Genomic DNA, 26098 nt, shown 5'->3' with positions numbered 1-26098 from the left:
CACCCCCAACATTGACATATTGAAGTCCTAACCCCCAGTTCTTCAGGCTATGACCTTATTTGGAGTTGGGGTCCTTACAGAGGTAATGGAGTTAACGTGAGGGCATTAGGGTGGGCCCTAATCCAATAGGTCCTTATAGGGAGGGGAAATCTGGACACAGACACGCTCACAGGGAGGCCACCAGGCAAAGGCAGAGATGATTGTAGAGATGTAGCTGCAGGACAAGGGTCACCAAGTTCCTCACTAGGAAACCACCAGGAACCCAGAGAGAGGCCTGAGGCAGAGACTCCCTTGCAGCCTCAGGAGGCCCCAGCCCTGCCCTGCCAAAACCTGGCTCTTGGACTTGCAGCACGCTCCAGCGCCAGGATTCAGTTCATGCATTCCTGCTGTTCATTCATTCCTGCTGTGTAAGCCCTGCAGTGTGCACTCCATTGTTATGGCAGCTCTAGGAGGCTCATCCACATCTCAAACTGTATTGACATCTCCACTGTGAGGAAAGGCCTGCATTTATGTATCAGAGAGGCCCCAGCAGGGAATGTGCCTGGGAGCTCACAGTTCTGCCTCCACCCTGGCCTCACATCTGTCACTGACCCCGCCAACTATGGGGACCAATGCAATGCCCCCACTTTAGAAAGGAAGAAGGAAGAAAGTACATCCAAGAAAGTGTGTGGCACAAAGTGCATTCCAGGCCAGCAGGTTCCCACGTGATGCCCTGGGCATGATGCCAGACGCCCCACCATCTGGGCCACCTCCACAGGGTGCCTCTGTGGCCCAACCCCCCACTAAGCCACACTCTAGCAACCAAGGGTATCCTGGGTGCTCTCAGGATGAATCCTCCCATTCTTTCTACATCTTTTCTAGGGCCCTGAGCCTGGGGCCTCAATCCCATCCCCCAGGACTGCACTGGGGACACAGACAAGGCCTTCTGAAGAAGCCATGCATTCTACAATGTCCCAACCCCACCGCCAGACTGTGTACTGGGCTGAGGGGCTTAGAAAAGCCACAGCCTCAAGCTTTTCCAATTCCCAACCTTTGGTGCCCATTAGAATCACTGGGAGCTTCAATTTGTTACCTGGGCCCCCACCCCAGATGGAAGAAGTCAGAGATGCCTAGACAGGGGCCCAAACACTGGTAAGTTTCTAAAGTGCTTCAGGTGGTTTTGCTGCAGCCAGGGTTAAGAACCCCCACCCTGAATGTATTCCAACCATAGCTGATGCTGTTACTTTTGTAGGCATAACTGGGGAATTCTCCTGGGGAGGGTGGTTTTGCTTTTATTTTTATTCTTTTAGTTGTTTTTAAATTGTATTTGGTAGCAGATTTAGAAATCACCTTCCTAAGATCCCCTGAGGTAGCTGAGCTGTTTACACCATTCTGCCCTGTCTGAGCCAGATCGTTCATTCACACATACACCCCACAGGGGACCAAGGGCCAGGGCATCGGAGCACAGCCCTGGGCCTGCCCATTTAACAAACTGCAAACCAGAGATGGGGCAACCTCTCCCTGGAGCACCTTTAGATCTGCAAGAGCTTGAGAGGAAGTGGAGCCTTGCTTGGTAGAAAACACTGATTCTCTGTGGGGTGTGGACATGCATGTGTGTGCAAGAGAGTGTGCATGTGTGTCTGTATAGATGCATCATGTCTGCACATGCAGGAGCATGCATTTGCACATGTGTATGTGGAGTGTGTGCATATTCAAGTGTGTGAGTGGGTGTGCATGTGTGGGTGCAGAGGCTATGAGTATGTGTCCATGAGTGTGCATGTGAGTGGGTGAGTATGCATGTATGTGCACACATGTGGTGGATATGCACGTGTATGCATGGGTGCATGTGGAGGCTGCATGAGTGTATACACCTCTTTTCATAATCTGCAAATGTTAACTGCCTCTGCAGCGTTCTGCTCCACAGACAGCATCGATGCATATTCCAGGCTCTCTGTTCAGAGGGAGCCGGTGGCAGACAGTTTAGTGTGCAGCAGTGGGTGCAGGCGGGCGAGTGGGCCCCACACCTTGTCTCTTAAGTGGCCTGCACAGTGCGAACAGCTGGATCTGACAACAAGATGTCACCAGGGTGAGAGCCAGAGTGAGGGACGTGCTGTTTCCCTCTCCCAGCATTGGGAGTATCTGTGGGTTCAGCACTAGCACTCGGGGACAGCTCCCAGCCGGGTTCCTTGCAGCTCCTGGACCTGCTATTTCAAGGTGAGAATTTCCTCCCCCAGAGCCCGCCCCCGACTTGGACAGTGCTTCTCAACACAGCCACAGGCGTGTAGCTGCCTCTTTAGTCTCTGGCACCAACCTGCCTCTGCCCCATAGCCTCACTTACACGTGCTGTTCCTCTCTGGAGACACTTTTTCTTTACTAAGCCTAATCATCGAATGCATTCACTTAAAAGGATGACTCCAGTGCTGTGAATTTCAGGCCACGGGGATGAAAACCTTCAAAGCCCTGGGTCATTTAGTGGCCTCCTAAGCAACACAATCCAGACCCAGCCTCCTTCTCCCACTACTCAATACAGCTGGCCCAGACTCCTCCCTCTGATCGGAGTCACAGACGTTCTACCTGAGTTACTGGCAGACTCTGAGTTGCAGCGAAGAAAGGCAGAAACTGAGTAGCTGCCCAAGACTGGTGCTTGCTGGGCCCTAGTGACCTAAGATTGCCATGGCTCTGTCCTCATCAGCATCCTCTGCTCTCCAACACTCCTGTGCTACAGAGCATTAGCATTAGTGGAGAGAAGGCCAATCAGACCAGCAAGAGAGTAGGCAGGCTCTGGTGGGGACTCACAAGGAAACCACCTGTGTAGAAGTTAATGAAGAAAAGCTGATTCACATGCAAACAGTTCTGGGGCCCTGAAGGAAGGCCCTGAGGAATAATCTCATCAAATGTGGTGGGGAGGAGGGATAAAGAGAGGTTGGTTTGGTTAATGGGTACAAACATATAGATAGATAGAAGGAATAAGTTCTACGTTAGATAGCAGAGTAGGCCGGGCACATGGCTCATGCCTGTAATCCCAGCACTTTGGGAGGCTGAGGCAGGCAGATGACTTGAGCCCACGAGTTTGAGACCAGCCTGGGCAACATGGCGGAAACCCATCTCTATTTTAAAATAAATAAGATTTAAAATATATATATAGCAGAGGCTGGGCGCAGTGGCTCATGCCTATAATTCCAGCACTTTGGGAGGCCAAAGCAGGTGGATCACCTGAGGTCAGGAGTTCGAGACCAGCATGACCAATATGGTGAAATCCTGTCTCTACTAAAAATACAAAAATTAGCTGGGCACGGTGGCACCCGCCTGTAATCCCAGCTACTCGGGAGGCTGAGGCAGGAGAATTGCTTGAACCCGGGAGGCAGAGGTTGCAGTGAGCCGAGATCGCACCACTGCACTCCAGCCTGGGTGACAGAGTGAGACTCCATCTCAAAAAAAAAAAAAGATAGCAGAGTAGGGAGACTATACTTAACAACAATGTATTGTAGATTTCAAAATAGCTTGAAGAGTGGACTTAAAATGTTCCCAACACATAAAAATAATAAATACTCAAGATGATAGATCCCCAGTACCCTGACTTGATCATTACACATTGGATGCATGTAGCAAAATATCACCCATCCCCATAAATATGTACACATATTATGTATCAATAGAAACATTTTTAAGTCAATGAAAAGGAGGAATAAAGCCAAGCACGGTGGCTCATGCCTGTAATCCCAGCACTTTGGGAGGCTGAGGTAGGCGAATTTCTTGAGCCTAGGAGTTCAAGACCAGCCTAGGCAACATAGTGAAACCCTGTCTCCACTAAAAATACAGAAATTAGCCAGGCGTAGTAGCGTACACCTGTAATCCCAGCTACTCAGGAGGCTGAGGTGGGAGGGTTGCTTGAGGGGAAGGCTGCTGTGAGCCATGATTGTGCCACTGCACTCCAGCCTGGGCAACAGAGCGAGGCCCTATCTGAAAAAAAAAAAAAAAAAGAAGAAAGAAAGAGAAAGAAAGGAAAAAAAGAAAGAAAAGAGAGAACAGAGAACTCCACAAAACACAAAATTGCTAACTATAAAGAAAAAGATGGATAACTTTTATTACATTAAAATTAAGAATTTCTGTTACTCCCCAAAAAACCATAAAGAAATTAAAAAGGCAAGCCACAAATTAGAAGACTTTTTTAACACATGTAACTTCCACAGAATTTATATCCTTAATATATAAAGAGCTCTTACAACTCAATATGAAAATGATAACCCTTATCATATGATGCCCATATCAATGGGCATCTCATCAAGACGAAAGAACCACAGGACAGGATGCTCAGCCCATTATCTTTCAGGAAATGCAAGTTGCAGCCATAATAAGACATCATCATGCCTCAATCAGAATGTCTGACAACCCTAAGTGTAGGTGAGAATGTGAACCAGCGGAAACTCATGCACTGGTGAGTCTCTGAATTGGAGCAATCACTTTGGAAGACAATTCGGCATTATCTTGTAAAGCTGAATTTTCACCATGCCAAGATCTAACAATTCTGCATCTAAGTCTATACCCAGAAAAACTTACACAAGTACATCAGGTGACATGTCCAAGAATGTCCACCACGGCAACGTTCAAAACCATTTCAAAAACAGGAAAAAATATCCGCAGACAGGAAAAACTGATACATAATTATGGCACATTCACACAATGGAATATTATATAGCAGTGAAAATGAATGAAATAAAGCTACATGCAAGAACATGGATGGATGAGTCTTTGAAACAGAGTGAGTTTGAAGAAAGCAAGTTAGGAGACCACATAGAGTAGATGCCATTTTCTCAAAGCTTGAAACCAGAACAAAACAAAAGCAAACCATAAACTGTTTATGGATACACTATTAAGAAAAAACAAAAAACTTTTTTTACAAAAGCAGGCTGGGTGCGGTGGCTCATGCCTGTAATCCCAACACTTTGGGAGGCCGAGGCGGGTGGATCACCAGAGGTTGGGAGCTCAAGACCAGCCTGGGCAACATGCTGAAACCCCATCTCTACTAAAAACACAAAAATTAGCCTGGCGTGGCGGCGTGGGCCTGTAATCCCAGCTACTCAGGAGCTGAGGCAGGAGAATCGCTTGAACCCGGGAGGCGGAGGCTGCAGTGAGCCAAGGTCACGCCACTGCACTCCAGCCTGGGGAACAAGAGAGAAACTCCATTAAAAAAAAAAAAAAAGCAAAGGAATAATATACACAAAGTTCAAGTTAAGGTTTCATCTGGGGAGGAGGCAGAGAGATTGGCAGACACTCTCAGGCAAACCCAGAGTCCTTGGTGACAGCATGATCTTAAATGGATGGTCACACATGGGAGGTGATTTGACTGTTGTGTTTCACAACATACTTTACATAGACTTTGTATGCATCATATATCTTACAATAAATATTAATAAAGAGAAGAATCTCCTGTATTCCTACATCCCACAGAAACAGTGATTAAAAATAAACCCAATCACACACTCTTACCCCCTTGACATCCCCACACTCTCAGCCTCACCCCCATCCTACCCTCAAACACTCAGGGGAGCCTCTAATCACTGCCCTTCCACCTCCCACAGCATCCAAGGGACCGTGAAAAGCCCAGCACTGGGTAAGGGACAGGCACCACCCACCCAACCACGCCCCTTCATCCTCCATGTCTTACTGGTCTCCAGACCCTAAAGTAGACCCAAGAAGGAGCCCAGGTTCAGAAGAGAAACCAAGCCTTCCAGGACGGCAGGCAGAGGGGACCCCACGTGCAGACGTGGCTCAATTCCACAAGCCAACACGTGTCAGCCCCTGAGCAGAAACACCAGAGAAGGAGCCAGGCCCTGGCCAGACAGCGCTATGCAAATACACTTCCCTGCCACATCCCCCAAGACCGGGCAGGAGGAGGGGGATTAGGAGTGGTGATGTCCTGCGGAACACCAGGATGTCTCCCAGGGTCTCAGGGCCGTGGGACCTGCAGGCAGAGCAGGTGCTCCCACAGCCCCTGGGAGGGAGGGGTGGGGTTCCCCTTCATCCCCTCCCTGCCCCACTTAATGCCAGTGGCTTTCCCCAGCACTCACCTCTGCAGCTCCTTCAGGGAGACTGTGACCCGCAGGCCATGGCCCAGGACATAGAGTGCAGTCAGAATGTCCGCCCACTGCACCATCTCCCCTAGGGGCCCGCCCTTCAGGACCCGAGGGCTGAACACGTCCCCGGACTCCTCCGTCAGGAAGCCGATGTGGACCAGGATCTGGGTGGGCGGAACACAGAGGGTCAGCAGAGAGGAGCAGCAGCTCTGAGCCCCGCCCCCCCGGGGCACCGGCCAGGAGACCAGCCGGCAGCAGACCCTGTCTCCAGGCTGGGCCCCAGCAGGTGCTTTCCGGCACCAGAGTGACCAGATCGGGCACTGGGGACACGGGCGAACAAGATAGTCACGTGCTTGCCCTCATGGAGCTAATGTTCCAGATGGAAGAGGTAGACAACAGTGAACACAGACAAGAGATAATTTCATGAAATGATAAGGGCTCTGAAAGAAATAAAAGGGCAATGTGAGAGCCACGTAAATATCTACTGGGTGGAGGGAGGGAGGGAGGGAAGGAAGGAGGGAAGGAAGAATGGAGGCATGAGCTAACGAAGCTCCCCAGAACATTCCCAACTTTCCAGGCCAATACCATGACTTTTCTGCCTGACATGAACCAGATGTACACAGAATGCAGGACCTCTTGGGGGCTTGTCATTTGGTCCCAACCTTGAAAAGGGCCAGGGGCCACCACCACAGACATCTATCCCGACTCTGCCATCCCTACCCCTCTCTCCCTCTGATCAAATTCAGAAGCCCACTACAGCTTGTTTGAAGACCTATTCCATGCCCACTCAGAAGTGGGGGCCCTGAGCTTTCTCAGCTCCTGCACATGAGGGGGCAGGGGCCACGCACCTGCTTCTGGTCCCTCTGGGTGGCCCCCAGCTTCTGTGCCAGGCGCTGGGCAGCCAGCGCCCACTGGGCTGTGAGCCTCTTGGTCCGCTTCTTCATGAAGATCAGGGACTCCTTCCCGCTGCCCATCAGGTCCAGAAGGTGGGACAGGTTGCTTCGGAAAACTGCCTGGAGGGGTCCAGACCTCAGCTCTCTGCCCCTCAACCTGCGGCCACCATCATTCCCCGCTGGCCTGGGGACAGGGGCTGGCACCCTCCCATGAGGCTGGGGCCTGCTCCAGCTTCTCCTGCACTTTCTAAGGGGCTCATTAGCCCCCAAAACCAGGGAGCCCTGCCCGCCCTGTCAACACACCCTCCCCAGCCCAGCTCTAACCATGGGCCCCTAGCCCTTCCACGGAGGTGGCCAACCATAGCAGTTTCCAGGTTCCCAGCCATGACAGGGAGGCAGTGAGGGTGGTGGTCATAGCCAGGACTCCGATGGCAGGGGACAGACGTGGCCACCACAGCAACTATGCGCCTCGAACCCATTAATTCAATTGTAAACCTCAGATGCATCGTCTGTCAAATACGATCATACAAGGATGGCTGGGAACTTTAAGTGCAAATAAAGCATCTGGACACAGAAAACCCTCAATAAGTGACAGCTGCTATTACTACTATTCTAGTCCACTAAGGGGGCATCTCCAGGCCCCCCACCTGCCCTGCAAACAGGCCCAGCTTGGTGGCATCTCAAAGAAGGCAGACAGGCCTTGGCAGGCTGGCCTCCCGTCTGCCCGGTAGGGTGGGCTCGGACCTGCCCACACACCTGGCAAGCAGCTCAGTCTCATTCCCTCAGGACAGAGGTTTCTGTCCACTGTCCTTAAGAATGTCCAGCCACACCAGCCCCTCACCGGCCCACCCACCTCCCAGGCCCACCTGGACTTTGGGGAGGGGCTTGGGTGCCCTCTGGGCAGCCGTCTGGTTCCTCCAGGGCAGCGGGGGGCAGAACCACTCGACCTCACTGAGGTAGATGAGGAAGGAGCACTCGGTGCCGTCCACCCCAAAGAAGGCGTAGCAGGGGTCAGAGGTCCAGCGGGCACGCATCCACTGCAGAGAGGGCCAGGCTGGGCAGGGGGCTGCGCCAGCCCCACTGACCCTCGGGGACTCCCCCGCACGTGCACCCCCAGGGGTCCTGAGGTCAAGGATGGGGCCCATGTGGCCCACCCTACTGATGCAACAGGGGACAGGGCAGAGAAGAGATTGAACCAGGACCCGCCTGAAGGACCCCAGAGATGGCAGGGGCAGGACCACCAGCCCTCATGTCTGGAAAGAGGAGAGACTGGGAGAGAACACTGGCTCAAAGGTCTGGGGCAAAGAGCCAGGAGGCCTGGCTGTCTCCCTCTCCCTCTGGTCCCCGTCTCCCTGCTACCAGAGCAGGATTGGGCTAGAGGCCAAGGTCAGGGAGCAGCCTCCAAGGCGGCCAGGGCTGGAGCCAGGGCGGGATCCACCTGCAGTGATCCCAGATGGTCACCAAGGAAGGGGTCTGCGGCACCACCGCCCACCCCTTAGGGCGTTCAGAACCAGTGGGGAGCTGACTTCACGGCTGTGGACGACTCCTACAAGGGCAGACTTCATGCAGCCAGTGGTGGCCCCAGAAATGGGGCAGGAAGACTCTCCGTCCAGCTGTTGGCTGGGCCAGGAGGAGCAGGGACAGGGCAGCCAGGGCCACTCCTCTGAGTCTCTGGGGGAATCCGGCTGCTGGCGGTGACACTTGGAGATTTAATCATTTGCTGTGAGAAAGCACCGACACCTGAGGGAGACTCTTTCTGGGGGATTTGGATTGATGGGTGGGGTGGATGCACTGAGCAGAGAAGCTGTTTCCCTGAGGTTGGCCTCTGCCAGCTTGTGCCTGGGTGAGGGGCCAGGGCCAGACAGAGAGGCCCTAGCTGTAGACATCCCCACCCCTCAGCCCCAGGCCTCACCTCCACCTTCCCTGAGCAGTCAGGGAACTTGGGGTCACTGGGTGCCTCACACTGGTCCCGCCGGCCTTCTGACACTGTAGGGAGAGGTCACCTTGCTGAAGTCCCTGGTCCAAGGAGGAGCCCAGGGAGGGAGGCCTGCGTGCGGGAGGCAGCTTCCCACACAATCCGCTGCCAGGCTTTCCCACCTTAAAGCTCATCAGCCGCACAACCCACCCACAAGGTCAACCCGGGCCTAGGTTGCCCCCGGCCTCCTCAGGGGGTTCAGATGCAGTGAGGAGCTGGTGCGAACAGCCACTCAGCAGCTGCCTGGATGGGCAGACCTCATGCACCCACCCGAAAGCATCCCCAGCGTTTTCTGAGGAGGCAGAAATGAGGTTTGCAGCCCCCAGCTCGCTGCTCCCCACATCACAGGGACTGGAGGGGCCGCCGAGGGACCCTTCCCCAGGTGGCCTCACTCCTGGAACTGTGGACCCCAGAAGCTGAGACTCCAGGGACCTCCTCTGTCCTCAGCGCCCTCCTGCCGGGTCGAGGGAGTGAACCCCCAGTTGTCCTGCTGAAAGCCTAAACTGGGGCCCCGAAGAGCCAGCAGAGCTGCTGTCAGGAGAAGTCGGCCACACCCCAAGTGTCCCACCCTCCCAGGGCCCACCCAGCACCCAGTTCATTGGCCCCCTAGGGGTAGAGGGTACCCCCGCCCCCTGGCACCCACCCTTGCTGTGCAGGAGCAGACTGTGGCGCAGGATCTGGTCCACCTTCACAGCGATGTCGGAGACGTTCTGGGCAATAGCCTGGATCCGCTCCATGAGGCCGGCCCCAGGGGGCATCCTAAGTGGGAAAAGCCAGAGGTGAGCCACAGAACCGGCCGGGGTGACCTTCCCATGAGGGTCCTGCCAGTAAGGCCCACAGGCAAAGGCGGCAGGCTCTGCAATGCCCCAGGCTCCCAAACCCTGACCCCAAGCAGACCAAATGGTGGGGAGTGAATCGGGTGAGAAGATGGAGCTGGCAGCCCACCCCATCCAGTACACACATTACAGACATACGGGAAAGCCCATATCTGCACATGTTGGTCACAACTGCATGTTGTGCCCACAACTGCATGTGTGATCATATCTGCAGAGAGCCCTTTAGTGGACATCCCCCACCCCTCGGCCCCAGGCCTCATGTCCACCTTCCCTGAGCAGTCAGAGAACATGTCTTCATGTGGCCACAACTGCACGTGTGCCCACAACTGTACAGGTGCCCACATCTGCACATGTCCCCACATATGCACACGTGCCCACAACTGCATGTGCGCCCACAACTGCACACATACCCATAACTGCACATGTAATCATATTTGCATGTGTGGCCACAACTGTACATGTGCCCACATCTGCATGTGTGCCCACAATGGCACGTGTGCCCATATCTGCACATGTGACCCTATCTGCACGTGTCAGGCATGTCCGTGCATTACTGCATGTGTGCTGAAGGGCAGTGCATGGGGCTGAAACAGGCAGAGGAATTCCATTCAAGAGCCTGGCTAGGTTCTGTCCAGGGGTCACACAGGTGACAGAGGCCTTTTCCTAGGCACAGCCGGGCCTCTCCGAGTCTGTCTCTATTTCCTCCCAAGAGGCCATATTGTGCCAAAATAAATTCTACCCGCAGAAGCCTGGGAACTTGCCAGGTATTAAAACTCCGGTAAATTATCACTGGCTTCCTGAGAACAAATCCTTCCCAGGATCTTAAAGGAGGTGACTGCCACCACCACAGCCCTCCACCTCACCATCGATACCAGTGTTGCTTTTATTTTTGGAGGATTTATTTCCTGTGTTGATTACTACTCAGCTCTCAGGGACATTTATTAGCCGTCATATGCAGTATTTATCTCATTGCAAACTTCTATTGAGATGGATTCCCCTCAGCTGGCAGATCTTCTCACACAAAGATAGCCCTGGGGGTCTTTCTCCAGGAAGCTGCTTGCCTTTTTTTTTTTTTAACACATTAATTCGGTTTCCTTTGATTCTCACCTCACCCCGTGGCTTTGCAGGCCCAGTTTAAGCTCCGTTTATCCCTATACAAGGTACTGGTCTTTATGGCTGCACATAATGGGAATTCGATGAAGGATTTTTCCAACCTGGGCTCCGTTCGGGTCTGCAAACCCCACCTCTCCTCCTCTTCTGAGCCTAGTGAGCTGTCCACTAGAGAAGGCATAGCAGGAACCCTCAATGGCCACCCGCCCTCTACAGCCATCACACTCTCCCACCTCCACCTTTCCTAAGGAAAGAAAGGGCAGTGGCCCCATACACATCGGGGGACTAGTCAGGGTGACAGGTGGGAGCAAAGCAGACACCGAAGTGGAGGGGACAAAAGGCAGATGACAGGAATGGGGAACAAGCCCCCCATGTACACACATGCACACACACATGCACACAGGCGTGCACACGCACACACTCACACACAAACACGCACGCACACATGTACACACGCACACACACACATGCACACACATGCACACACACGCACACATGCACACACAATCCAGTCTGTCCTCTCACTCTAGTTCAGTGCCCAAGGCAAACTTTGACAAAAACAAACAAACATAAAACTCTTAAAATAAAAAATGCCACCATTTTTGTGTTAGTTTCCTGGGGTGACTGCAATAATTTCCACAAACCAGGTGGCTTAAAACCACACCCATTTCTCCTCTGGCAGCTCTGGAGGCTGGAAATCAGACAGCGAGGTGGCAGCAGGGCCGGCGCCTTTAGACTCTAGGGGAGCCTCCCCCAGGCCTCCCTCCCAGCTTCCAGAGGTAGCAGCAGCCCTCAGTGTTCCTCAGCCCGTGGCTGCTCCACCCCGACCTCTGCCTCCGCCTTCACACGGCCTTCTCCCCTGTGTGTGTCTGTGTCCACTTTCCTCTCTTTATAAGAACACCAGCCATGGAACCAGGGCCCATCCAAATCCAGTAGCACCTCCTCTTAATTTGATTACATCTGCAAAGAGCTTATATCCAAATGAGGTCATAGTCACAGGTCCTGGGGCTAGGACTTGGACATGGCTTTTTGGAGCACAAAGTTGAATGCACGACAGCCTTCTGTGAGATTACAAAGAAAGAGAAGAGACGTAAAAGCTACCTGCTTCATTTGCTCAAAAAGTCCTCAGGAAGAAGGAAGTAGGAGTATTTTTCATCTATCCAAAACTCATCAAGGTTCATTACCAGTATGATACAAGGAGATGAGAGGAAGCTCAGACCCCTATGAGCTATGTGACCCTGGGCAGGTCACCGAGCCTCTCTGTGCTCACCAGTCTCATCTTTTAAGACATAAGGGCAGCTACCATGGTGAGGACTGAATGAAGAGAGCTGTAAAGTGCGTGGCCAGCGGCACCTGTGTGACATCAGCACTGTTTGCATTCGTGATCAGCACTGATATTGATGTGGTTGAAGCAGCAGCCACAGGGACTTGGGTTAGACCAGGGCACATCAACCTTTTCTCATTATTGCCCGTCTAGGAGGTTTCTTACAGCTAAGATTGTTTCAAGAACCAGTGTTCTCCCTTTTGGCAGTGATGTGCTCCCACCGAGAATGCCTGGGTTCCCTCCAAGAAGAAACATGCCGATTTGATGTCTGCCAGGCTCTGACATCAGTCCAGATGAAGCCCGTGGAGCTGCTTTCCATGCTGACCTACAGGGGCAAGATGGACACTCCTTTGACAGGAATGAATATTTTTTTATATACACAGAGAGAGAGAGGGAGAGAGAGAAGGGCTCTCACTCTGCCACCCTGGACAGAGGCTGGAGTGCAGTGGCGCAATCATGGCTCACTGCAGTCTCAACCTCCCGGGCTCAAGCCATCATCCCACTTCAGTTTCCCAAGTAGCTGGGACAATAGGCATGAGCCACCACGTCCGGCTAATTTTTTTTTAATTTTCTGTAGAAAATATATTGCCCAGGCTGGTCTCCAACTCCTGGGCTCAAGTGATCCTCCCGCCTCAGTCTCTGAAAGTGCTGGGATTACAGGTGTGAGCCACCATACCCAGCCTGGAATGAATATTTCAAGGACAGAGTGCAGAGGCAGGGAAACCTCCACTGCTGCAGGCTCAGAGCTGGAGACGAGCCGGGCTCTAAGGCTCCCATCATGACAGGAGGCACGCAAAATGGAGAAAAACTGGGCGCCTGTCCTACCTTCTAACCAGAGACCCCAGGGCACAAACAACCTATGTCAAGACAAGCCAAGCCAGGGGTCCTGCCAGGTCAACTAGAGACTTTGGAACGGACCTCAACCCGTTTCAGCCCTTCCTGGAGGCACCTCTCCCTGGAGCGAGGCTCCTCTCCATCCGTCTTGCAAGAGCCAGGTCACTTTCTGAACCCCCTGACCCACGGTGGGTGTGGTTGTGAGTGGCCAGCCTGAAACCCCGAATGGAGTCCTGAGTCCTCCAGGACAGGGACTTGGCTTTCCTGTGTGGAACCAGATGCTGGCCAGCGTGGGCCCTGTGCTCGGGGCTCCATCACTTAGGCTGAAGAGTGTCTCCAAAATTCATATCCAGCTGGAACTTCAGAATGTGGCCTTATGTGAGGGATAAAAGACTACACATAGGGTGCAGTGTATACTGCTCGGGTGATGTGTGCACCAAAATCTCACAGATCACCACTAAAGAACTTACTCATGTAACCAAATACCACCTGTACCCCAATAACCTATGGACATAAAAAAAATACTAAGCTACTGCTATGTGCAATGACATAGACGAATCTCAGAGTCAGAATGTTGAGCATGATAAGCCAAATAAAAAAGATTATGGGCCGGGCACAGTGGCTCACGCCTGTAATCCCAGCACTTTGGGAGGCCAAGGAGGGTGGATCACCTGAGGTCAGGAGTTTGAGACCAGCCTGGCCAAAAAAAAAAAATTAGCCGGGTGTGGTGGTGCGCGCCTGTAATCCCAGCTACTCAGGAGGCTGAGGCAGGAGAATCGCTTGAACCCGGGAGGCAGAGGTTGCAGTGAGCCGAGATCGCGTCACTGCACTCCAGCCTGGTGACAGAGCAAGACTCTGTCTCAAAAAAAAAAAAAAATAAAAAGATTATGTACTCTGTGACTCCATTTATATGATGTTCAAGAACAGGCAAAAGTAATGCTGATAGAAGTCAGGGTGGAAGTTAGGTTTAGGGGCTAAGAATGACTTCCGCTGACGGAACACAGGAAATCTTGTGTGCTAGAAATATCCTATGTAACCTAATCTTGGTAGGCGAATCTGTCCATATGTAAAACTCCATCAAAACTCCATCAAGTTCTAACTTTAATATTAGTGTACTTTATGAAAAATATACCTCAATAAACTTTTTTTTTTTGAGACAGAGTTTCACTCTCGTTGCCCAGGCTGGAGTGCAATGACACAATCCCGGCTCACTGCAGCCTCTGCCTCCTGGGTTCAAGTGATTCTCCTACCTCAGCCTCCCGAGTAGCTGGGATTACAGGCATGTGCCACCATGCCTGGCTAATTTTTGTATTTTTAGTAGAGACAGGGTTTCACCATGTTGGCCAGGCTGGTCTCAAACTCCTGACCTCACGTGATCCACCCACCTCGGCCTCCCAAAGTGCTGGGATAACAGGCGTGAGCCACCATGCCCGGCCAATAAACTTATTTTTTAATAAACCAAAAAAAAAAAAAAAAAAGAAAAAGAAAGAAAGAAAGAAAGAAAGAAAGAAAGAAAGAAAGAAAGAAAGAAAGAAAGAAAGAAAGAAAGTGGCCTTACTTGGGAATAGGGTCTTTGCAGATGTAATTAGTTCAGGTGAGGTCATATTGGATCAGGCTGACCCTAAGTCCAATGACTGGGGTCCTTCTAAGAAGGCCACATGCAGACACCCAGGGGAAAAGACCATGTGACGAAGCAGGCAGAGAGCGGAGTGATGCATCTGTGGGACGAAGAAGGCCAGGCACTGCCAGCATCCACCAGGAGCAGCCAGGAAGGGGCAGGGAGGAGTCTCCCCTCGAGCTTTGGAAGGAACACGGCCCTGCTGACACCCTAATTTCAGACTTCTGTCTCCAGAACTGGGAAAGAGTAAATTTCTGTTGGTTTAAGACATCTGGTTTGTGGTCATTTTTTACGGCAACTCTACGAAACTAAGATAATCACCATCCGCAGAACTGAGGGGAAATGGTTTTTAATCCACCGCAAAAGAGAGTCCAGGACCAGGCCCAGAGGTTCACGCCTGTAGTCCCAGTACTTCGGGAGGGCAAGGCAGGAGGATCACTTGAACCCAGGAGTTCGAGACCAGCCTGAGCAACAGAGTGATACCCTATCTCTATACATAATTTTAAAAATTAGCTGGGCATGGTGGTGTGCGCCTGTGGTCCCAGCTACTCAGATTGAGGCAGGAGGATCGTTTGCGCCCGTGAGGTCCAGGCTGCAGTGAGCCATGATCACACTGCTGCACTCCAGCCTGGGTGACAGAACAAGACTTTGTTTAAAAAAAAAAGAGAGAGAGAGAAAATCTAGGTTCTCCTGGATGCTCCTGCTGTCAAGAAGTTCTTTTCAGCAACCACGTTGCTCTTGCTGAAGGCCAAGCTTTAATTCTCCTGCCGCTCTCACAGGAAAGAAAGAAATCAAGGGATGTCCTTGAGTTTCAAGCGCTGGGTCAGTGACTCTCCACATTAGCCAGAGATGTATTGGAAAGAGTGAAACCCTGGAAGTCAGAGGTCCTGGGTTCAAATCCTGGCTGCACTTCACATTTGTGTGACCTTAGGCAAGTTACCTAACCTCTCTGAACACAGGCTTTAACTCCTGTGAAATCTGAGTAATGGAGTTATTGGTGAGGATAAGCTGTGAGGCCAAATGCAAAGTACTCAGCATACAGGAGGTGCTCAATACATGCTTGATATGCTTTTGCTCCCCAGGGACAGCAGTCATCCCATTCCTGAGAGGAAGCATCATACGCCCGACTACAAAGCAAAGCACTTTACTTTTTGGGGGATTCAGCAATTTTCCTGCGACAAGCATGTCTGTGTAAAACCCATCGCCAGCACAGGCTTTAAATAGTGCAGATGGCATCTGTCTGATTTAACAAGTTCAACTTGTTCAAAACACAATTATTTGGCATCACTATTATTATACTGGACTTACCATTTGCACAGCCCTTTCTATTTTCAAATCATATACAATTAGGCTTCTCTCCCTGAGAGGTTTTTCTAAAAGTGACAACAAAAGTAGATGTCGTAAAGCCTCAAACCTCAACAGATCTATGACCTGGGAAATGCTTGGTTGGAAAAGAAAAAGAGGGGCTGGACTGGGGGGATGGTGGCCAATGGCCTTCAGCCTATGTGGTCTGGGGAACACAGGGCCTTGGTGTTGTCACCGTGTGGGGAACCCAGGGCCTTGGTGTTGTCACCGTGGGGTAGGCAGCACCAGCGCTGACTTCTCCACCAGGGCCAGGAGGTGCAGGCCAGGGCCCACGCTGCTTTTAGGGGCCCTCGAAAATGTTTGAATTTCTTTAAAAATCGGGGGACAAAAAAACCCCTTGTAGATCAAAGAAAATGTTTTAATGTGATTTTCATATATTATAAAATATAATTTTTGCCATGGGTTAAATGATGCCCCCCCTTCAAATTCGTATGTTGCAGCCCTATCCCCCAATAGCTAAGCATGTGACTTTACTTGAAAACAGGGTCACTGCAGATGTCATGAGTGATTATATGAGGTCATACTGGAGTGAAGTGGGTCTCTCATCCAATATGACTGGTGTTTTTATCAAAAGGGGAAATTTGGTCTGAAACTCACAAACAGAGAGGACACCATGTGAAGACTCAAATTGTGCTCCCATCAGTCAAGGCCAGGAGCAGGGCCTGGAACAGATCCTTCCCTAGCACTGCCTGCTGACGTCTTGATCTCAGACTTCTGGCCTCCAGAACTGTGAAACGATCAATTTCTGTTGTTTAATCCAGTGGTTCCCAACCTTTTTAGCACCCAGGACTGGTTTCGTGGAAGACAATTTTTCCATGGACCCAGGGAGAGGGGCAGTGGGGATGGTTTCAGGATGATTCAAGTATATTACATTGACTGTACATTTTATTTCATTATTATGAAATAATTATACAACTCACCACCACGTAGAATCAGTGGGAGCCCTGCAACTCATTTTCCTGCAACTAGATGGTCCCATTTGGGGGTGATGGGAGACAGTGACAGATCATCAGGCATTAGATTTTCATCAGAAGAAGGCAACCTTGATCCCTCACATGTGCAGTTCACAATAGGGTTTTCACGCCTATAAGAATCTAATGCTGCTGCTGATCTGACAGGAGGCGGAGCTCAAGTGGTAACGCGAGCGATGAGGAGCAGCCGTAAATACGGACGAAGCCTCACTTGCTTGCCTGCCGCCCACTTCCTGCTGTGCAGCCAGGTTCCTAACAGACCATGGAGCGGTACCGGTCCATGCCAGGGGGTTGGGGACAGCTGGTTTAACACAATCAGTTTGTGCTGCCCTAGGAAATCAATGCCATTTAAAATCTGTTCTTTTTTTTTGCCTTTTTTTTTCTTTTTTTCTTTTTTTTTTTTGAGACAGAGTCTCACTCCGTCACCCAGGCTGGAGTGCACTGGTGCAATCTCAGCTCACTGTAATCTCCACCTCCTGGGTTCAATGAATTCTTTGCCTCAGCCTCCTGAGTAGCTGGGATTTACAGGTGCACCACAACGCCCAGCTAATTTTTGTATTTTTAGTAGAGATGGAAGTTTCACCATCTTGGCCAGCCTGGTCTTGAACTCCTGATCTTGTGATCCACCTGCCTCGGCCTCCCAAAGTGCTGGGATTACAGGCATGAGCCACTGCGCACAGCCTAAAATCTTTTCTATGGAGGAAGGTACCTGACATCATAAAGCCACCCAGGGAGGCAGGACTTTTCCTAGACTTTTAGGAGGACACGAGAAAACCATGCCACTAACGATAATGACAGTTACACAGCCAACAGGCATTGAGCACTCGCTTGCCAAGCTCTTTCTATACTCTGATCTCATTTAATGTCCATGGCAACATCCTGGTCCCTCTTAATGCTCCCATTGGACAGATCAGGAAGGAAACAAAGGCACAGCAAGGCTGAGTGACTTGCTCAGGATCACACAGTTATTAAATGAGAGATCAGTCCAACCAGGCAGCCTAGCCCCAAAGTTCACCCCGCCCAGCCCAGAAGGCTGCTGAACAGGCAACATGGCTGGAGACGGACAGCTGGAGAGGATGTTCCTGGCGGGGGAACAGGGAGCCGGGTGGCCCTAATGAATGCCTGGACACAAGTGCAGTGCCCACAAGCTTACGAGGGGCCTCCAGGCCTTGGTCCTCAGCAAAGGAAGCAGGCTGGAGCCACAAGTGGAACACTGGCTTCAATCAATCAGAAAAAGCTGCCCTGAGACACGCTGGGTTGCTGGAAGAAAATCCATTTTCCACCTCTTACACCCCGGGAAGGTGGTGCCAACAGGTGGGCTCTGAGACAGGCAGGAATGCACCATTTCACCTGGAAGGGGTCCATGCACAGGGTGGGGGCAGGACATCAGGACCAAGGCCAAGACCGAGCAAAAGGCTGGCACCCCCCGCCCCCAGTCTAGAAAGTGACATCCTGGGGGATGGGACTTTCAGGGCTATTTCCACTGGGATAACAGCCAACACTCCCCGCAGGAGGCAAGGCCGAAACTGCTCTGGCAGAAGGAGTTTCCCAGGCAACAACCACCCTAACCCTGAAGAATCCATTACCAGGGTACAAACCTTGAATTCAATCTACCCCGGCACGGGGGACAGGGGACAATCCCCTGGGCCTCACTCCCACCACCAAGTGCACCCAGTCTTTCTCCAGCTGGTGCAGATGCCCCTGAGCCCTTTGGTCCTGCTTATAGTACATTTTCCTTTCTTTTCTTTTATGTCTTTGTTACATGCATTTTAAGAGAGGAAGGCTGTGAACCCAGGTGAGCTTGAACCGGCTGCTTCTGGCAGAGCAGCGTGAACATGAACAGTGAAGATCTGGCCCATGAGAGTCAGGGAGAGGGGAGGCTGGAGGGCTCAGGAGGGTTGTCCCCAGAGGAGGCCCCATCATCCACGTGCATACACACGTATTTACCATGTGCCTGCTCGGTGCTGGGCTCTGGGCACAGAGGAACCAAACGCAGATGAACCAAACGCAGGCCCAGCCTCAAGGACACCCTGAGGGGGGTTATCAGGGAGAGGGGGCAGAGGAGAGAGCAACCTGGGGTGTGTCTGTGTGGGCTGACCCTGGGGTACATCAAAGGGTATCACTGAGCCACTCAAGGGCCACAGGGAAGAACACACAGGTACCAAGAGCCCGTACTGTGCGTGCAGTAACAGGTGAGCTGGGCAGCTCCGGGATGTCCACACCCACACATTAGAAAGAAAGGCCTGCCCTGGACCTGCTCCCGGGAGCTCACCCCTCAGCCCTTGGAGTGTCCCCTGATAAGAGTGTCCTTTTCTACCTGGGGCCTTGGGCCACCCCCAGGAGTCTGTGCTTCCCTGTGATTGACGGTGGGACATGCCACCTCAGCTTGATCTCTGGAAGGGCCAGAGACTGAGGTCAGCCCCTGAGTGGTCAGTCATGTCTCTGAGACTGAGCCCCCATAACATCACTGGGCACCAAGGCTGGCAACACGCATGTGTGTTGTCCCATATCGTTGCTGGGAGAGCAGGCGCTGTCACAGCTTCACTGGGAGAGGAACACCAGTGCTCCATGCGGGTCTCCAGGGCTCTGCCCCGCCCGTGCGCCGCTCCCCTTGGCTGATTTTCATCCATATCCTTTCACAGGAATAAGCTGTCACTGTGAGGATCATGGCTGTGCTGAGTTCTGAGTCCTCCTAGCAAATCACTGGACCTCAGGGTGGCCTTGGGGATCCCAAATGTTCTGTGCCAGTGCCCTGCATCTGGAGCCCCAGGACCAGCCTGAGGTCGCCTTCTCCTCTCCACACAGGCTCTGCCAGTTTCCTTCTTGCCTGGCACTTGGGGCTTCATTGCGGGGCAGAGGTCACTGGCCCAGCACAGTCCTGGAGCTTCCTTCTAAAGACTTCCTACCTGGCCGAGCGTGGTGGCTCACGCCCGTAATCCCAACACTTTGGGAGGCCGGGGCGGGCGGATCACCTGAGGTCAGGTGTTCGAGACCAGCCTGGCCAACATGGTGAAACCCCATCTCCCCTAAAAATACAGAAATTAGCCAGGTGTGGTGGCACATGCCTGTGGTCCCAGCTACTCTGGAGGCTGAGGTGGGAGGATTGCTTGAGCCCAGAAGGTTGAGATCTTCAGTGAGCCGTGATCGAGCCACTGCACTCCAGGTTGGGCAACAGAGTGAGACCCTGTCTCAAAAAGAGACTTCCTACCTCCTGGCCCTGATACCATACCAGCCTCACTGTGCTGGCTTTTTCTTATTCAGTGGGGTCAGGGGACACACTCCAGGAAGCCCCCTGCCCTCCTCAAGGCCTGTTAGGGTCACGGAGGGCTTGGAAGAGGAACAACCCTGTGTTCGAAGCACCGAGAACTTTGGAGCCACCAAGCCACCAGGCTGGCCCCGTGCTGCATGTCCTAGACCCACAAGCCTCTCTGAGCCTCAGCTCCCTTGTCTGTCAAAGGAGGCAACCCTTGGAGGGCTGCGTGAAGGAGTAAGCAATAGAAGGCACTTGTCTTGCCTGCTGCTATGAACCATGTCTGTGTCCCCACAAAATTTGTATATTGCGATCCTAACCCCCAGGGCCGGGCGCAGTGGCTCACGCCTGTAATCCCACCACTCTGGGAGGCCGAGGCGGGCAGATCGCCTGAGCTCAGGAGTTTGAGACCACCCTGGGCAACATGGTGAAACCCTGACTCTACTAAAATACAAAATATTAGCTGGGTGTGGTGGCAGATGCCTGTAGTCCCAGCTACTCAGGAGGCTCAGGCAGGAGAATCGCTTGAACCCAGAAGGCGGAGGTTGTAGTGAGCCGAGATTGTACCACTACACTCCAGACTGGTTGACAGAGGGAGACCCCGTCTCCAGAAACAAAAAAGAAAGAAAGAAATCCTAACCCTCAATGTGATGGTATTAGGAGGTGAGGCCTTTGAAGGGGGATTAGGTCATGAGGGTGGAGCCCTCATGAATGGCATTAGTGCCCTTATAAGAGGCCCCTGACTGGGCACAGTGGTGCACACCTGTAATCCCAGCAGTTTGAGAGGCCAAGGCAGGTGGATCATCTGAGGTCAGGAGTTTGAGACCAGCCTGTCCAACATGGTGAAACCCCATCTCTACCAAAAATACAAAAATTAGCTGGGTGTGGTGGTGTGCACCTGTAATCCCAGCTACTCAGGAGGCTGAGGCAGGAGAATTGCTTGAACCTGAGAGGCAGAGGTTGCAGTGAGCCGAGATTGTGCCACTGCACTCCAGCCTGGGTGACGGTGGGAGAATCAGTCTCCAAAAAAAAAAAAAAAAAAAAGGCCCCCAGAGAGCTCTCTCAGCCTCTTCCCACTGTGTGAAGACACAGCAAGAAGCTGATCATCTATAACCCAAAAGAGGATCCTCCCCCAAAGCTGACCATGCTGGCACCCTGGTCTCAGACCTCCAGCCTCCAAAACTGTGAGAAATGAATGCTTGAGGCCGGGCACGGTGACTCACACCTGTAATCCAAGTACTCTGGGAGGCTGAGGTGGCCCAATTGCTTGAGCTCAGGAGTTCAAGACCAGCCTGGGCAACATAGTGAAACCCTATCTCTACAAAAATATAAAAATTAGCCAGGGATGGTGGCATGCACCTGCAGGCTGAGCTACTCAGGAGGCTAGGGCAGGAGGACTGTTTGAGCCTGAGAGGCAGAGGCTGCAGGGAGCTGTGATTGTGCCACTGCACTCCAGTCTGGGCAACAGAGGGAGACCCTGTCTCAAAAAAAGAAAGAAAGAAATGTCTGTTGTCTATGAGCCCCCGAGGCTATGGAACTTTGCTATTGCAGCCTGAACTCCTAAGAGACCTATAGGTAGTTACAGGTATACCTATACTTAGATGTACCTAGCACACATACCTAGTTTTAATGATTTTATTATTATCACTACTCGTAATGGACATTCAGTCAAAGTGAGGTCTCACCCCCTTCTGGATGAAGTCCCAGTTAGACCTGCCCAACAGCAGAATGGACCACATCAGAAAGCAGTGAGTCTCCCGACCCCGAAATTGCTCCACCCGAGGTTTCAATGGCTCAGAGGGACCGAGGACAGGACTGCAGCCCCTTCTGAGGGGGTGACCCTGAGATCCACCACTCACTGTCCCTCTTCAGACCCAGGACTCTGTGGGGCCTGGGTTCTTGGTGGCAGTGAGTCTGGCCCAGGCCATGGCACATGATCCTGTAGTGACAGGTTATTCCCAAGCCAGGCCAGGAGACCACCCACGGCATGGCCAACAGTAGGGGAGTGAAGGTCTCTGGTCCCGCCCTGCCTTCAACAGAAAAGCTGGGGACATTCGTCATGATCAGGAAGCCCTCAGGGCCAACAGGACATACTTGCAGCCTGAAGGGTCCCACCTCCCTCCCAGCCCGGCAGGGACTGCACTGGGAACTTGGGACTTTTTCACACCCCATCCCCAATAAACGTGGCTGTCATGTGGTTGGTCCGGCTCTCGGCACCGTGGGGCTGTGACAACAGTGCAGGCCTGGATCAGACCTGGATGGGATCCTCCTCACCAAGCTCTAGTGAGCTTGGTGCCCAATAGAGGGTGGCTGTTATTATTATTTGCTATTGTCATTGATTATTATCATCATTAATTATTATGATGATTAATAATTATTACTTCAGCCAGCTCTGCAGCAAAGTCTGTTGGAATCCAGAACATGCCCCTGGGGGCCGACGGCTGCCCTGGGGTGGCACTGGCTGAAAGAGGCCCCTGACCTGCCAACCACACGCCTCTCTCCCAGTGAAGGTACCCACGGTGGCCCGAGACAGCTTCTGAGACCAGAGGGCTTTGCAGACAGCTCTGGGCAGGGATGGGGAGAGGGGACAGTGACTTCCCAGGTTATCAGGTGTGTTCCCTGAGAGCTCTTCCCTCCCTGCCTGCTGGAGCCACCCCTTGGTGGGCCCAAACCCATCACAGTGACCTCCCGTGGGCTCAGTCACCTCCCATGGGCACTGTGACCTCAAGAGCCTGCCTGGGTCCCAAGGTCCCAGGATGTCTGGCAGATATAGTGGCTTTCCCAAGGTCACACGGCGAGCTCCCAGGGCTGACACTGCCCCTGCGCCAGCCCTGCATCTTCTCACTGCATCTGCAAAACAGCTCGGTGTACCTGGCATGGGAGACCTGGGCCTGAGTATATTTTCTGCACATATACTAAGCCCCAGGCATTCTACCAAAACCATCGTTTCTCACTCGGAAAGTAAAAGAATGCCAAGCGAGGCCTCTGATCACCGCCCACCCCTCTTCCCAAGGCCGACCCTCGTGCAGCCAGCCTCCGGGCACTGTCCCAAGGGACCAAAGAGTAGCCAACACTGCAGGCCACAGGCCGGACCCAGATGCTCTGTTCCCTCCACCACCTGAGGCCTAGGGTGATGGGCCGGGGCCAGCGGGGAACTCTGGAAGGCAGCTATGCTCACCACTATACCACCAACGCGGCCCTCCAGTGGGGAACTCTGGTTCCGCAGGTGGCCAGTGGCAGGTCACTACTTCCTCGCAGGCCCCAATCCTCAACTCCCTTCAGGCTGGTCCCTCAAAGAGGCCCCTGAGGCTCAGCCCCTTCCTCCCTGCCCCACGAGGTAATCACTGATTCTGGTCCAGTCTGCTTCCCCTGAGAACGAGCTCTCCAGGCCACCTCAGGAAAGAGATTTAATTCTGACTCCCTCTCCTGATTTACGAGAGTTGCATTCAATTAACGGGGATATTGATCTCCCCGCCGCTGGCTAGGGTGCTTGCTGGGGCTGTTATTTTGTTATGAAACTGATCACTTTTCTTTTAAAACACAGAGACTCACGTACACAGGTGCCTACAGACACGCATACCGGGAGACCTGAGTGCACACGGCTGGAAACATGAGCGCCGGAGCAGGGGAGACGGATCCTCTCTGTCGCCATGTCTCTGCGTCCGCCTCTGTCTCTTTCACACACACCACACGGGACATGGAGCCCCCACCCCAGCATCCAGCCTGGCTTGCATTCGCACTGCTCTCTTCTGCTTCAGCTCCTCCTTGGCCCATCCAGAGCTCCCCACCCTGATGCTGGGGAGGCCCCCTCCCCAAGTGAGAGCAGAGAGGACTCCTCTCTTCCAAACAAAAAAATAAATACATAAATACACCCGTGCACACATGCACTCCCCCTGTTAAAAGGAGCAGAGCTGGGGTTGGGCTGTGTGTGGTGTCATTACCACCTGCCCGGGGAAGCAAATTCTGAGATCACTGTGCTCCAGGGACAGTGGCAGAACCAGCAGGAGGAGCCAGAGGGACATGGGGCCAGGCATGGTGGGGCCAATGGAAGGACCTGGGCTCTTACTCGAGTGAGCTGGGGGGCCATGAGGGAGCGGGGAGTAGAGGAGGGACCTGGACACTTATTGATGACTTAGAAAGACCCCACTGGGCCAGACACGGTGGCTAACACCTGCAATCCCAGCACTTTGGGAGGCCAAGGCGGGCAGATCACATGAGGTCAGGAGTTCGAGACCAGCCTGGGCAATATGGCGAAACCCCATCTCTACTAAAAATACAAAAAAAATTAGCCGGGCATGGTGGTGCACGCCTGTAATCCCAGGTACTTGGGAGGCTGAGGCGGGAGAATTGCTTGAACCCTGGAGGCGGAGGGTGCAGTGAGTCTAGATCATACCACTGCACTCCAGCCTGGGTGACAGAGCAAGATTCTGTTAAAAAAAAAAAAAAGAAAAGAAAAAAGAAAGGAAGGAAGGAAGGGAGGGAGGGAGGGAGGGAGGGAGGGAGAGAGGAAGGGAGGGAGGGAGGGAGGGAGGAAGGGAGGGAGGGAGGGAGGAAGGAAGGGAGGGAGGGAGGGAAAGAAAGACCCTAGCGGCTGCTGAGTTGGAATAGCTGGTTGGGGTCAGTCAGTGGGGTGAGAAGAGGTGGGCTTCTAAGGCGTATTCTGAAGGTGGGAGAATTTGCTGAGGGATGGGGCAAGTGTATGAGAGAGAAGAGCCAGGGGTGACTGCAAGGTTGGGGTCCGAGCCATGGCAATAATGGCACTGATACAGCCTGAGATGGGGGCTGGGAGAGAAGGGGATCCTGAGTGCAACCAGGAGACCCCACGTCTGAGTGTTCCCAGGACACCCAGGTGGGTCAGCAGGTGCCTATTCTGAGAGCAGCAGCATCCAGGGCTACAGCGCCAGCTTAAGACATAAACTGGGGAGTCTAGAGGACAACGGTGTTTTTTTGTTTTTGTTTTGTGAGACAGACTCTCACTCTGTCACCCAGGCTGGAGTGCAATGGTGCGATCTCAGCTCAGTGCAGCCTCCGCCTCTCAGCTTCAAGCGATTCTCCTGCCTTAGCCTCCCAAGTAGCTGAGACTACAGGCATGTGCCACCACGCCTGGCTAATTTTTGTACTTTTAGTAGAGACGGGGTTTCATCATGTTGGCCAGGCTGGTCTCGAACTCCTGACCTCAAGTGATCCGACCACCTCGGCCTCTCAAAGTGCTGGGATTACAGCTGTGAGCCACCACACCCAGCCTGAAGGTGGTCTTTAGAGCCATCAAAGTTCAGGGTTCAAGCCCACCACTGCCCCTCACTCACCAGGTCCTCCGGCCACAGTGCTCCCAGGTGGCCCCTCCTCCCTGGTCCACCTCCCTCGGGCTCAGCCACCTCAGCCATCTGCTCCTTCCCGCTGTCCAGAGTGCTGGCTGTCTCCCCAGTCAAAATGTCTCTCCTTCAAGGCTATCCCAAACTCCCCTGTGCCATGGGGACTTGGTGATTCTAAGCCTCCCAAAGAGTGGTTGGGTCACCCCCTTCTCTGGACCCTCACGGTACAAGGAAAGGAAAGGAGACAAACTATTCTTCTGAGCGCCAAGCACAGGGCCCAGGCCTCCCATCAGCATCATCTCTAACACACACGTGAAGAACCTGAGGCTCGCAGAGCCCAAGGCCGCCCAGGTCTGCCCCACTCTGAGGGGCCACTGGCCAGGCTGGGCACCGGGCATGCAGTGGAATTCCATCTTTTTTGTGTCCCCTCCACCTGCTCTCAAACCTCCAGCCCAGACTCTGCACACACTAGGCATTCAACAAATACGGACTGACCTCTTCAATCCAGACAGCCTCAAATTTCGGTGGTTTTATGGCCTTATGGAAAATTCAAAGAT

The 26098-nt window shown here is 52.8% G+C and overlaps 1 protein-coding gene across 7 annotated transcripts in view, besides 2 other annotated features; it reads right to left on the bottom strand.

The window, feature by feature from the left end:
• Window positions 1-26098, bottom strand: part of MGAT5B (alpha-1,6-mannosylglycoprotein 6-beta-N-acetylglucosaminyltransferase B) — an 81990-nt gene that overhangs the window by 38159 nt on the left and 17733 nt on the right. For all 7 annotated transcript variants that reach the window (NM_001199172.2, NM_144677.3, XM_006721707.4 and 4 more), the window contains 5 exons: window positions 9565-9680; window positions 8859-8932; window positions 7813-7983; window positions 6902-7066; window positions 6048-6217 (listed from right to left, as the gene is read on the bottom strand). In NM_001199172.2, the coding sequence (NP_001186101.1) occupies window positions 6048-6217; window positions 6902-7066; window positions 7813-7983; window positions 8859-8932; window positions 9565-9680 (696 nt within the window). The remainder of the gene's footprint in view (window positions 1-6047; window positions 6218-6901; window positions 7067-7812; window positions 7984-8858; window positions 8933-9564; window positions 9681-26098) is intronic.
• Window positions 5527-6138: an enhancer, noted in NCBI's record as "H3K4me1 hESC enhancer chr17:74902179-74902790 (GRCh37/hg19 assembly coordinates)". NCBI's record gives its function as "activates a minimal SCP1, AML or CMV promoter by ChIP-STARR-seq in naive and primed H9 embryonic stem cells {active_cell/tissue: H9 hESC(naive and primed)}" and the evidence as "EXISTENCE:reporter gene assay evidence [ECO:0000049][PMID:30033119]".
• Window positions 6139-6750: an enhancer, noted in NCBI's record as "H3K4me1 hESC enhancer chr17:74901567-74902178 (GRCh37/hg19 assembly coordinates)". NCBI's record gives its function as "activates a minimal SCP1, AML or CMV promoter by ChIP-STARR-seq in naive H9 embryonic stem cells {active_cell/tissue: H9 hESC(naive)}" and the evidence as "EXISTENCE:reporter gene assay evidence [ECO:0000049][PMID:30033119]".

The sequence above is a fragment of the Homo sapiens genome, chromosome 17 (genome assembly GCF_000001405.40).
Source record: "Homo sapiens chromosome 17, GRCh38.p14 Primary Assembly".
Taxonomy (NCBI): domain Eukaryota; kingdom Metazoa; phylum Chordata; class Mammalia; order Primates; family Hominidae; genus Homo; species Homo sapiens.
Note: the sequence above shows the minus strand (reverse complement) of the source record. Positions and strands in the feature narration are given on the sequence as shown.